This window comes from Homo sapiens, chromosome 10 (assembly GCF_000001405.40).
Source record: "Homo sapiens chromosome 10, GRCh38.p14 Primary Assembly".
Classification (NCBI taxonomy): domain Eukaryota; kingdom Metazoa; phylum Chordata; class Mammalia; order Primates; family Hominidae; genus Homo; species Homo sapiens.
The window spans coordinates 5,032,633-5,045,130 of record NC_000010.11 but is presented as its reverse complement, the minus strand read 5'-3'; the positions used below and the strand labels follow the sequence as shown (position 1 = coordinate 5,045,130).

The window sequence follows — 12,498 nt, the reverse complement described above, 5'->3', positions numbered from 1 at the left end:
CGAAAATCCTTAGCAGAAGATAAATGCTTGGTGCCTTGTGACTGGGAAATTCTAGCAAAATCTGTCTTATCTAAATCACAATATTTACAATTTAGGACATGGTGGGTTGATGCTGTCCAGGATTGAGTCCGCCTTAATCAGGGCTCTAATCCTCCTGTTAACGTTACAACTGACCAGTTACTGGGAATGGGGCAGTGGGCTGCAATTAGAAAGCAAACTATATTGAATGATGAAGTCACTGAGCAACTCCGAAAATGCTGCCTGGGTGCTTGGGATAAGATTCAGGATGATGGCACTAGATGTCCCTCCTTTACAGCCATTAGACAAATGCAAAATGAACCATACCCCTGACTTCATTGCCCATCTTCAGGACGTGGCAGAAAAATCTATTCCTGATCTAAATAACCAACATTTGGTTGTGGAACTCATGGCTTATGAACAAGCAAATCCAGATTATCAGGCTGCTATTCACTCTGTAAAAGGTAAAATCCCACCAGGAAGTGATTTAATCACATCCTATATTAAAGCATGTGAGGGTGTTGGTGGAACGTTACATACTGCTATGGTCACGGCTCAGGCTATGGCCAGCATTAGAATGCTTGGACAATTTCCTGGTAATTATTTTCACTGCAGCCAATCTGGACATACCAGGAAAAAATGTCCTCGGTGTTCAGACCACCACCCTGTACAACACCAATCCCCAAAGGCCGTACAACTGCGAGTCCCACCATCCACACCATGCCCAAGATGCCATAAGGGCAATCACTGGACAGCTCACTGCCACTCGAAATTCGACACTAATGGCAACCCTTTACAGCCACTTCAAAACCAGGGAAATGGTAAGAGGGGCCAGCCCCAGGCCCCTCCAGACAATGAAGCATTCCCCAACTCCCAGCCTTGGCCTTGCAGCCAGATGAGGGCATCCCCAGCTCAACCAATCGATCCAACCACTCAGTTTCCACTTCAACCATTCATGCCACAAGCATAGATGTCACAACCCCAACAAGGATCTCATTTCAATGCTTGTCCCCCGCCACCACAGGATCTGCAGCAGTAGATCTCTGCTGTATTAGAGACATTTCCCTTTTGCCTGGAGAGCCACCAATAGCTGTTCCCACAGGTGCTTTTGGGCCCTTGCCACCTGGCTCTGTTGGTTTATTGCTCAGTCACTCAAGCTTAAATTTAAAAGGTGTTCAGGTACATAATGGTGTAATTGACTCTGATTACTCTGGGGAAATACACATTACTGTTAGTTCTGCAGTTCCTTGCCAAGCTTCAGCAGGAGATTGAATTGCTCAACTTCTTCTTCTGCTGTACATTCCACTCAGATCCAGTTCTCATAAAAGAACTGGAGGTTTTAGGAGTGCAGATAATCAGGGTAAAGTGGCTTACTGGGCTAATAAAATTTCTGACACCTGACCTGTTTGTTCCACGCATATACACAGAAAGAAATTCATGGGCATGATTGACCTGGGTGCTGATGTTTCCATTATTGCTTTACACCAATGGCCTCGTCACTGGCCCAAAGAAGTCACATTCACCGGGTTGGTGGGAGTTGGTCAGGCCACTGAGGTTTATGAAAGTTCCACTATTTTACATTGTACTGGCCCAGAGGGACAGACTGGTACTGTTCACCCTCTACACCTATTCCAGTTAATCTCTGGGGAAGAGATCTTTTACAGCAATGGGGTGCACAAATTTCATTTCCACATGCTGCCAACAGTGAGCAAAGTAAAAACATTATGACAAAAATGAGATATGTTCAAGACACTGGTCTGGGAAAATTGGCTCAAGGTATTACTGCGCCTATTCAACCTTTCTATAAATTTGACTCCAAAGGGCTTGGTTATTCTTTTTAGAAGCAGTCACTGTCAAGCCTCCAGATGCCATCCCTTTGACTTGAAAACTCAGCCAGTTTGGGTGGATCAGTGGCCGCTCCCAAAAAATAAGCTGGAGGCGCTCCATAATTTAGTCCTGGAACAGTTAGAATTGGGACACATTGAGGAATCTTTCTCTCCATGGAATTCACTTGTCTTTGTTATCCAAAAGAAATCTGGAAAACAGAGAATGCTCACTCATCTTAGGGCAGTTAATGCTGTACTTCAACCTCTGGGGACATTACAATCTGGCTTACCCTCCCGCTCTATGCTCGCTGAGTATTGGCCTCTAATCCTCATAGATCTTAAAGATTGCTTTTTTAACATTCCACTGGCCTCTCAGGACTTTGAAAAGTTTGCTTTTATGGTCCCTTCCCTCAACAATGTCGCTCAGGCTACATGCTACTATTGGAAAGTCCTACCACAAGGCATGCTTAATAGTCCCACTATTTGTCAGTATTTTGTGGGGCGTGTGCTTCAACCTGTCAGGGATCAGTTTCCCCGATGTTACATCGTTTACTACATGGATGATCTCCTCTGCACAGCCCCCCCATACACCATTTTGATTTCCTGCTTTTCTGTGATTCAACAGGCCATTTCAGAAGCAGGTTTGACTATTGCACCAGAAAAAATTCAAACTACCTCTCATTTTCAATATTTGGGCATGCAGTTGGAAGACAAGCTGATTACACCACAAAAAGTTCAGCTTAGGAGAGACGCCTTAAAAACTTTAAATGACTTTCAAAAGTTACTTGGGGATATTAATTGGATTTGCCCTTCTTTGGGCATCCCTACATATGCTATGTCAAACCTTTTTGCCACATTATGTGGGGATCCAGATTTACACAGGAAAAGGTTTCTTACAGAAACCTCAGACTCAGAGAGGCTGAGTCTGAGTTATGATTGATTGAACAAACAGTTCAATGGTCTCAGGTCACTAGATTCAATCCCAAATTACCTTTTACTATTTTAATTTTTCCCACTGAACACTCTCCAACAGGGATCATCACTCAGGAACATGATATAATTGAATGGTGTTTTCTTCCCCATAGCTCTCTAAGGACACTTACTATTTACCTTGACTAAATTTCTACCCTCATTAGGCAAGCCTGTTCCCATCTTTTATGACTTTTGGGACAGGAATCTCAAAAAATTATTCTTCCCTTAAACCGTCAACAACTCTGACAAGCATTTACAAATTGTGTTATTTGGCAGGTAAATTTGGCCCATTTCCCTGGTATAATTGACAATCATTACCCTAATGTAAAATTGTTCCAGTTCCTGAAACTCACTTCCTGGATTTTACCTAATATTACCAGAAGTATTCCATTAACTGGAGCCGTTACTATATTTACTGATGCTTCCTCTAATGGCCGTGCTGTATACACAGGACCATGGGAACGCGTTCTTAACACAGGACCTATTTCTGTACAGCGAGCTGAACTTAGCACTGTTATGACTGTCCTTGAGGATTTTCCTGAGTCTGTCAACATTGTTTCTGATTCTGCATACCTCGTGCATGTTGCCCACAACATAGAAACGGTGTTAAATTTTTGCCTGAGGAAAGTTTACTTTCACTTTTTCAAAAGTCTTAGACAGTTCTCAGAGCACACTGTGCCCCCTTTTACATTACTCATATTTGAGCCCATACATCACTTCCAGGACCTCTTTCAGCTGTAAATGCCAGAGCTGATGCTTTAGCCACATCCATTTTTATGGACATGCGAAATTGTCGTGCCCTAACTCATGTCAATGCTGCAGGACTCAGAAGCAAGTTCCCTCCCACATGGAAACAGGCAAAAACCATAGTACGGCACTGTCCCTCTGGCCAAGAGTTAATTTTACAACCACTTCCTTCGGCAGTTAATCCTACAACCACTTCCTTCCAGAGTTAATCCTACACCACTTCCTTCCGGAGTTAATCCTACAACCAATTCCTTCCGGAGTTAATCCTACAACCACTTCCTTCCAGAGTTAATCCTAGAGGCTTTTCCCCCAACACACTCTGGCAAATGGACGTGACCCACTTTCCAGCTTTTGGGAGACTTTCTTTCATACATGTAACACTTGACACCTTTTCCCATTTCATCTGGGTTACATGCCAAACAGGAGAAAGTACTGCTCGTGTTAAATGACATATGCCTTCTTGTTTCTCAGTTATGGGCTGCCCTGCTAAGCTTAAAACTGATAACGGTCCCAGCTATACCAGCATTGCCTTTAAAAAGTTCACTCAAGCATGGGGCATTACTCACACTACTGGAATTCCCTATAATTCTCAAGGACAGCCTCTGGTGGAATGAGCTAATAAACCTCTCAAGGACCAGCTTCGCAAACAAGGTAACAAAAAGAAAGGGGATGTCAGTACTCCCCATGCTCAGATAAATTTAGCTCTGTTCACATTAAAATTTTTAAATTTGGCCAAGAACCAACCTTTCATGGCAGCAGAACAACACTTTGCTGGTAATAAATTTGACCCACAAAAAGGCAAGCAAGTATGGTGGAAGGACACAAAAACTAATAAATGGGAATTACGCACTGTAATAACATGGAGTAGGGGTTTTGCTTGTGTCTCCCCAGGAAAGGACCAACAACCTGTTTGGGTTCTCTCCCATCAGCTGAATTTGTACCATGACTCCAGCCCTGAAGAACCATCAGAAACAAAAGGAGAAGAGCCGCCAGAAATCAAAACGCAAGGCTCGTCACCTGACTAATACAATTTATATCTCAAGTTTGCCTCACAGCCTCGCCCTATAACTCCCAATGCTAAAATTCCACCCTGCTGATGTGGGGGGGTCAGATAAAAGTAATGTCCGAAGAGGTTGAGAGACACCTACAGGACAAAGGGATTCCAAAAACTATGGGTAATGTTATCTTGGCTGCCTTTATGGTAGTTACTGCAGTGGTAAGTATACCCGGGGCTGCAGCAACTCAAAATTACACCTACTGGCATATGTCCCGTTTCCATTCTTATTCGATCTGTTTCATGGATGGATTCCTCAGTGGAAGTTTATACTAATGACAGTGCATTCATGCCAGTCCCTAATGATGACAGATTTCCGGCTTAAACAGATGAAGAAGGAATGCCTTTTAATGTGTCCATTGGATATAAATTTCCACCATTGTGTGTAGGATTTGCACCTGGTTGTTTGGCATTCTCTAATCAAAATTGGATGTGGACTGTACCGGCCTCCAGCAATGATTCTTATCAGGTGCATAATGTCTTCTGTAGTAATTCTTTTCAGGTTCTGACCGTTAACATAAATTCATTTGAAGAACAGAGAATTCCTGTCACAGTAAAGCATAATAAAACACAAGGATTGCCAGACTGTTTAAAAGACCTTATAAAGGGACCTAATAATTCAAAACATTCTATGGAGTGATTGCAATGCCCCAAAAGTAGTGGTGCTAAGGAGTCCGATCACAAGTGTTGTCATTGACTGGGCCCCAAAAGGATATTATTGGCGAGATTGCTCTGGCCAAAATACCCAATGTCCTGAGTTTAACTATTTAATAGATTATGAAGAGAAAGGCTGGCAGTCCTACAAAAAGAGGGAATGGGTGTCTCCTTACCCATTCAAATGGTTGGACAAGGTCATCGTTCCTCCTAGACCAAAAATGATTCATCCTATAGTTACCCCGGAACATCCTGAATTGTGGAGGTTGTCTGCAGCCATATCCGGAATCAGATTATGGAATGTTGCTTATCAAAAAATTCTTACAAATACCAAAACAAACATGTATAAGATCTCTTTAATGTCTGAGAGGGTGGTACCCATTAGGAGCTGTGTTAAACCACCATATGTTATTGATTGGAAACATAATTATCACCCCTGATAGTCAAACTATTGAATGCAATAATTGCAAATTGTTTACGTGCATTGATGCTACATTTGATCCAAAAACAAGTGTTCTCCTGGTCACGGCCAGGAAAGGGGTATGGATATCAGTTTCTTTACACCGCCTCTGGGAATCGTCTCTTCTGTTCATGTAGTCAATAAAGTCCTTAAAGGGATTCTTAAAAGAACTAGGAGATTCATTTTTACTCTCATTGCGGTGATTGCAGGTTTAATTGCTGTTACTACAACAGCGGCTACTGCTGGAGTAGCCATTCATAACTTGGTCCACACCACTCATTATGTGGAAACATGCCAAAAAAATTCCACCTGACTTTGGAATTCTCAGGCTCAGACTGATCAAAAACTGGCCAATCAAATTAATGATCTCCACCAGAGTGTCATCTGGTTGGGAGACAGGATGATGAATTTAGAACACTGAATGCAACTACAATGGGATTGGAATACTTCTGATTATTGCATAACACCTTATGGTTACAAGGAAGATCAACATAGTTGGGAAAAAGTCCAAAGGCATCTAAAAGCCTGGGATGATAATTTAACCCTAGACATTTCAACACTGAAGGAGCACATTTTTGAGGCTTCCCAGGCTCACTTAACTACCATTCCTGGTTCTGATATATTTGAAAGAATTACAAAAGGACTATCTGATCTAAATCCTTTCAAGTGGATCAAACCCGTTGGAGGTTCACTTTTGTTATCAGCATTACTAATATTGGTGTGTTTATGTTGTTTGCTTTTAGTCTGCAGGCGTCTCCACGGAGTCCAATGAAAAACTCGAAGCCAGCGACAAGCAATGATGGCAATGACAATCCTAATCAATAAAAAGGGGGGAGATGTGGGCGAAGGATTACCCAGGTGCCGAGGCAAGAGACTGAAGGCACAAACTGTTTCAGTATAAGAAAATAGTTAGAGTAACAATAGTTATAATACAAATTAGATATAGAGATGATCATGGATATTATCAATCATTAGTATAAACATTATTAATCATTAGCTTTTAATGTTACTCTTTGTTGTATTACTAATATAACCAAGGAATAACCAGCGGGTAGAGGGTCAGGTGCTGAAGGGACATTGTGAGAAGTATAGTCATGGGTTGAATCACAGCATTAACAGCCCTCCAATCTGTTAACATTCTCCATTTCCCTGATTTTTTTCTTAATGACAAATACAGGAGAATTCCAAGGGGGAGAAAGTAGGCTCTGTATGTCCCTTTTGCAATTGTTCCTGCACCAGCTCTTTTGAAGCCTCCAGGTTTTCCTGTTTCAGTGGCCATTGCTCCACCCAAACCGGTTTGGCTGTTAGCCAAACAAGAGGAATGGGAGTTGGAGGTTCAACAATGGCCACTCCTAAAAATGACACCCCAATCTGATCCGATCTGTTTGCCCTTGTAATTATAAAGGCTCTGATTGGCCTTTTTTATCTTTTCCTAGTCCTTTTCCCAGACAATATCCTGTATTTTTCATTTGTCTACTATTATTACTATATTGATCTGTAGGAATAGATATTTCAGCATTCCATTGTTGCAGTAAGTCTCCACCCCATAAATTGACAGGAATAGGTGTAATGATAGGCTGAATTGTCCCTTCCTGACCATCCAGCCCTTGACATGATAAAATCAAGGAACTTTGAAAAACTTCTGAGGCAGCTCCTACTCCAACAATACCAATGGATGCATTTTGCTTAGGCCAGTGCCTGGGCCATTGATTTATAGCAATAATAGAGACATCAGCTCCAATATCTACTAGTCCTTCAAAATATTTTCCCTGAATAGTTACTGTACAAATAGGTCTTTTTTCAGACACTTGATTAACCCAATACACAGCCTTTCCTGCTGGATTAGTATTATGAAAGCCTCCCGTTCTTTTCACTGTGCTGCTTCCTAGTTTTATGTAAGGTAACAGCAACAACTTAGCAATTCTTTCTCCTGGGGAGGCAGACCACGGAGGAACTAATAACTAATTGAATTTCTCTGGTATAATCAGAGACAATTATTCCCACATGCACAGTGATGGCTTTTAAATTTAGACTAGATCTTCCAAGTAATAGACTGTTCCTGAGGGTAAGGGTCCCCTAACTCCCATAGGGACCTTCTTTGGTGGCTCCCCAGGAAGTAAGGAGATGGGAATTGTGCTGTAGAGGTCTGCGGCAGCATTGCCTGCGAGGCGGGGGATAATTGTTGTACATTTGTAAGGGCACTGGCTGTGCTGGGTATGCCTCAGTTTGTTAAGGGGCTCAAGGAGGGGCCCCTTTTCCTCTTTCCTGAAAGAGATTGTCCATCTTTGCTAAATTTAGAATGACACTGACTTGCCCAGTGATTGCCTTACACCAGGGACGTATACTGGGACTTTTCTGTTGATTGATGGTAGTAGTTTTTGCCTTTTGATTTCCTTTTCTACATTCCTTTGTGTGTCCAAATTGCCCACAATTAAAACAAGAGCCTGAGAAATGGGGCATATTCTTTCCTACTCTTAATCCAGCCATAGCCTGAGCTAAAAGAGTAGCCTTATGTAAGTTACCTCCAATGCCATTATAAGCCTTAATATATTCAGCTAAATAAGGCTTCCCTCTTAGGGGTCTATAACAGCAGTTGACACTCTGCATTAGCATTATCATATACAAGAAGCTGTATTACAACATCCTGAGCCGTTTTATCAGTTATGACCTTATACACAGCCTCTTGGAGCTGAGCAATAAAATCAATATATGGTTCTTTCAGACAGAACTGAAAGGAGGATATTTTTCCCCTGTAACATTTATGCTTTCCTATGCCTGTAAGCACACAAAGTGCAGGTGAACAATGGTAGCATCCTCCATTACTGCTTGATTCTCTAATCGACCCCAATTAGGGCCAACTCCCATTAACTGTTCAAAGGAAACAGGCACAGGTGGCTGTGCTTGTGTGTTTTCCCTTGCCTGAGTTTGAACTCCATTAGCCCACCAGGTTTTAAACTGTAAATACTGAGACAGTGAGAACAGATTTTGTCAAAGTATCCTAATCATATGGTATTAATCTATTATCAAGAGCCACATTTTTTAAATAAAGTTTGCACAAAAGGAGAGTTTGGTCCGTATTGACTAAGGGCTTGCTTAAATTCCTTTAGTAACTTAGAAGGAAAAGTGGCCCAATTAGCTATAGTCTGTCCTCCCTGCTGGATTATAGTAACGGGAAGTTGTCATGCTTCAAGTTCTCCCTCAGCTCTAGCTTTTTGAATAGAATTTTGTATAGCATGACCAATTGCTCCAGCTTTTAATGTTGCAACTACAGGAGCAGTAAGTTTTTCAGCTAATTTATTTTCTTCCCCATTAAGGGGAGAGAGAGGAGGTGGCCATTCACTTAATTCAGCAGGTGGAGCCGACGGGCTAGTAAAACATACTTTTTTTAGTTTTCCTTTCTTTTCTTTAATCTCCTCTAGTAGCTGTTCCTCACACTCAGAATCTTAAGTCAGTTTTTTTACACTCATTCTCCTCATCATCTGAATCTGCCTCATTATCTGTTTGAAATGGCTCAAAAGCTGCCTTTATTAGCGCCCACATTGACCAAGTGGAAACTGGAATTTCTGCTCCCTCTTTATATGCCTTCTTAAAATCTCTTCCAGTTCTCTCCCATTCATCTAACTCCATAGTCCCTTGTTCAGGAAACCATGGGCAAAACTGCATTACTGTACTAAAGAGTGATAAAAAATTCTGAGTACTAACTTTCACTCCCCCTCTTTGTAATAAATGCCTTAAGAAATTTAAATAAGCAGAATGTCTGCTTTCACTTTGTCTCATTGTTACCTTGGTTCTTCCGAGCGCTCAGCTCTCCCGCCGAGCTTCTTTGAGACGTCCTCAGGTGTCCTTTGACGATGCGTCCTCCACTTTCACACACTCTAGCATTCCTTCACTGGGGTCTTCATTGCCCCACATTGGGCAGCCAGGAATGTTGGGGTGATCAGACACAACACCAGGTCATGGGGGCGAGGAAGTCTGGCGGAGTCAAAGGAATGAGAAAAAGCCAGTTTGAGAGAGAAAGTAGGACCAGGGAGCCATCGCCAGGGTGGAGGCTGCAAAGGACCCGAGCTCTGGGAGCCCACACTACTTATTGGTGCTCAAACAAACAAACAGGTGGTGAGGATGTGGGGGTTGAAAGGAAACAGCGTATCAAGTGAATGAGAAACATATGGCTGCTTGAAATAACGTGAGTGCTAGAAGCAAGGAGCCAGCAAGTCTAGCAGAAATGCAAGCCCTGCCTCAGCTTCTCTCCCAACACTCAGCTTTTCTCCCAACAAATACCCAATTAAATAAAATAACAAGGCATACAAAGACATAGAAAAATATAGTATATTATAAGAAAGAAAATCAATTGGCTGAAATCATTCCTGAAGAGCTACAGACATTGAAATTAGTAGAAGACTTACACAACTACAATAAGTATACTAAAATTGCTAATGAAAAATGTGGAGAAAAACTGTCAGAAATCCAAAAAATATAGAAAAATGACAATATGATCACTGATACAGAAATTTTTTTTTTTAAATTTTTGGAGCTGAAAAATATAACTGAATTGAAAAACTCACTAGAAGGCTTCAACAGCAGATTTTGTCAATATGAACATATAATCAACATATGTGGTGACAGAATATTTAAAATTCTTGAGGTGGCTGCTCTCACAGTTTGGAGTTTAAGGCCTGTGGCTTTTCCTGGCTGAAGTTGCAAGCTGCTAGTACATTTATAATTCTGTAATGTTGAGGGGTGAAGCCTTGCTCCCACCACTTCACTATGCAGTGCACCCATGGAGACATTCTGCAGAGCTCCAACCACATATTTCTACTCAACATTGCCTAAATAGAAGCTCTCTGTGGGGGCTCCAGCCTTTCAGCAGGTATCTGTCTGGAAATTCAGGATTTCTGATACATCCTCCGAATTCTAGGTGAAAAGTGCCAAGCCTTAACCACTCATGTATCACAAAGGGCTCAGGCTCAAAACTCTCCTCATTTGTTTCTCTCTCTACTCATGATTTCCTCCAGTGACCAGGTGTGTCTCCTGTCACTTCCCAAGGCTCAAAGGACAAGACAGTTAGCACATGGGGGCTTCTGTCTGACTAGCATAGGTTTGTGGAGTTGATAAGAATTCAAATTTTCCTCAGCTGGTATACAATCTGGTGAAAAACTCTGACCTCAGGAGACCACAGAAATTCTCAGTCTTACGAAAGGAACATGAGGACAGGGAGATGGGAGCCGACACTCACATTGAAAATAAAATAAATTTTAAAATAAATAAATACAAATTTATATTGGCAGCAGTGTTTGTCCTGAGGAGGTTTCCTGTTTTGTTGACTCAATTCTCTGGGTTGAGGGGTTTATATGTGAACAATAAGGGGTATACTTGAACTTCACAGAGGTTTGTGGGTGAGGGCATGGCTGTTGAGCAGAGGAGCCATGGAGGCTAACAGTCAGTTTGCATTGTTGTGGAAACAGTCGAGCAGCAGAAGCTGTGCAGGAGGGAATAGGAAGAACAGGTATGCTGTGGAGGAGGAGGGGGCACTGTTGATACCCCGGGAGGAAATTTTGGGAAAAAGCCAGAGATGCCTAAGGGAATATGTAGGAAATTTTAATTATGACACTGGATAAAATATACAATGTAAATTTACAATGTAAAAATTACGATGAAATTTTAAGTAAAACCCACCTTGCTCATAGTGTTTTCATAGAGTGAACTCTGTCTGAAGAAACAACTGTGTCCTGAATGTTGACTCACAATAAGTGGTGGTTCCACTGAGCACTTTTTGAGATCCCTGCCTCTTCTGTACTTTTTGTTATTTTAATATTTCTCAATACTGTAGTCAACCCCTACAATCCACTGGGGTTCATGCTCTCAGGATGACTCATCAGTTTTCATCTATTCTGACTAATCCTGGATTGGGACAAAATGCAGGGGATGTTTTAAAGAGAAAATTATTAACTTTTATGGTTGTTTTGGTTAGCATAAAACCAGGTCAAGAAAACAATTTATAATTAATATAAATTTAATAGAAATCTGTTACCACCATAACAAGAAGTCTGAGGGAAGGCAAGCTCTGAGTGTTGTTCCTTGGAGTCCAGAACTTCTCTCATCGTCTCCTGACTCTTCTTCTTCTGTGTATTGATATTATCTTTGGGCTGGGTGGAGGCTGCTGAAGCAAATTTAGAACTCACACTGCAGCAGGACAATAGCTACTTGCAGAAGAAAGGCCACCTCATTTTAAAAATTTCTTTCTAGAAGTGAGGAATCATTCCTAGAAGCCCCTAGCATTGGTCCTTCTTATGTGGCATTGGCTAGGACTGGGTCACAGTGAGAGGTGACAGCATGCTGGCAAGCCCTCACAGCCCTCACTTGCTCTGGGGGCCTACTCTGCCTGGGCTCCCACTTTAGCGGTACTTGAGGAGCCCTTCAGCCCACCACTGCACTGTGGGAGCCCCTTTCTGGGCTGGCCAAGGCCGGAGCCGGCTCCCTCAGCTTGCAGGGAGGTATGGAGGGAGAGGCGCGAGCGGGAACTGGGGCTGCGCACCGTGCTTGCGGGCCAGCTGGAGTTCCCGGTGGGCAGGGGCTTGGTGGGCCCGCACTCTGAGCAGCCGGCCAGCCCTGCCGGCCCCGGGCAATGAGGGGCTTAGCACCCGGGCCAGCGGCTGCGGAGGGTATACTGGGTCCCCCAGCAGTGCCAGCCCACCCGCGCTGCGCTTGATTTCTCACCGGGCCTTAGCTGCCTCCAACGGGGCAGGGCTAGGGACCTGCAGCCCGCCATG

The 12,498-nt window shown here is 42.7% G+C and overlaps 1 long non-coding RNA gene across 1 annotated transcript in view; it reads right to left on the bottom strand.

Annotated features, from left to right (window-relative positions):
* LOC107984198 (uncharacterized) overlaps nt 1-12,064 on the bottom strand; it is a 47,905-nt gene extending 35,841 nt beyond the window's left edge. The window contains exons 1-3 of the long non-coding RNA XR_001747341.2: nt 11,763-12,064; nt 11,405-11,629; nt 9,515-9,703 (exon numbers count right to left, since the gene is read on the bottom strand). This is a non-coding gene — a long non-coding RNA (uncharacterized LOC107984198). The remainder of the gene's footprint in view (nt 1-9,514; nt 9,704-11,404; nt 11,630-11,762) is intronic.
* Nucleotides 12,065-12,498: the final 434 nt, after the last annotated feature.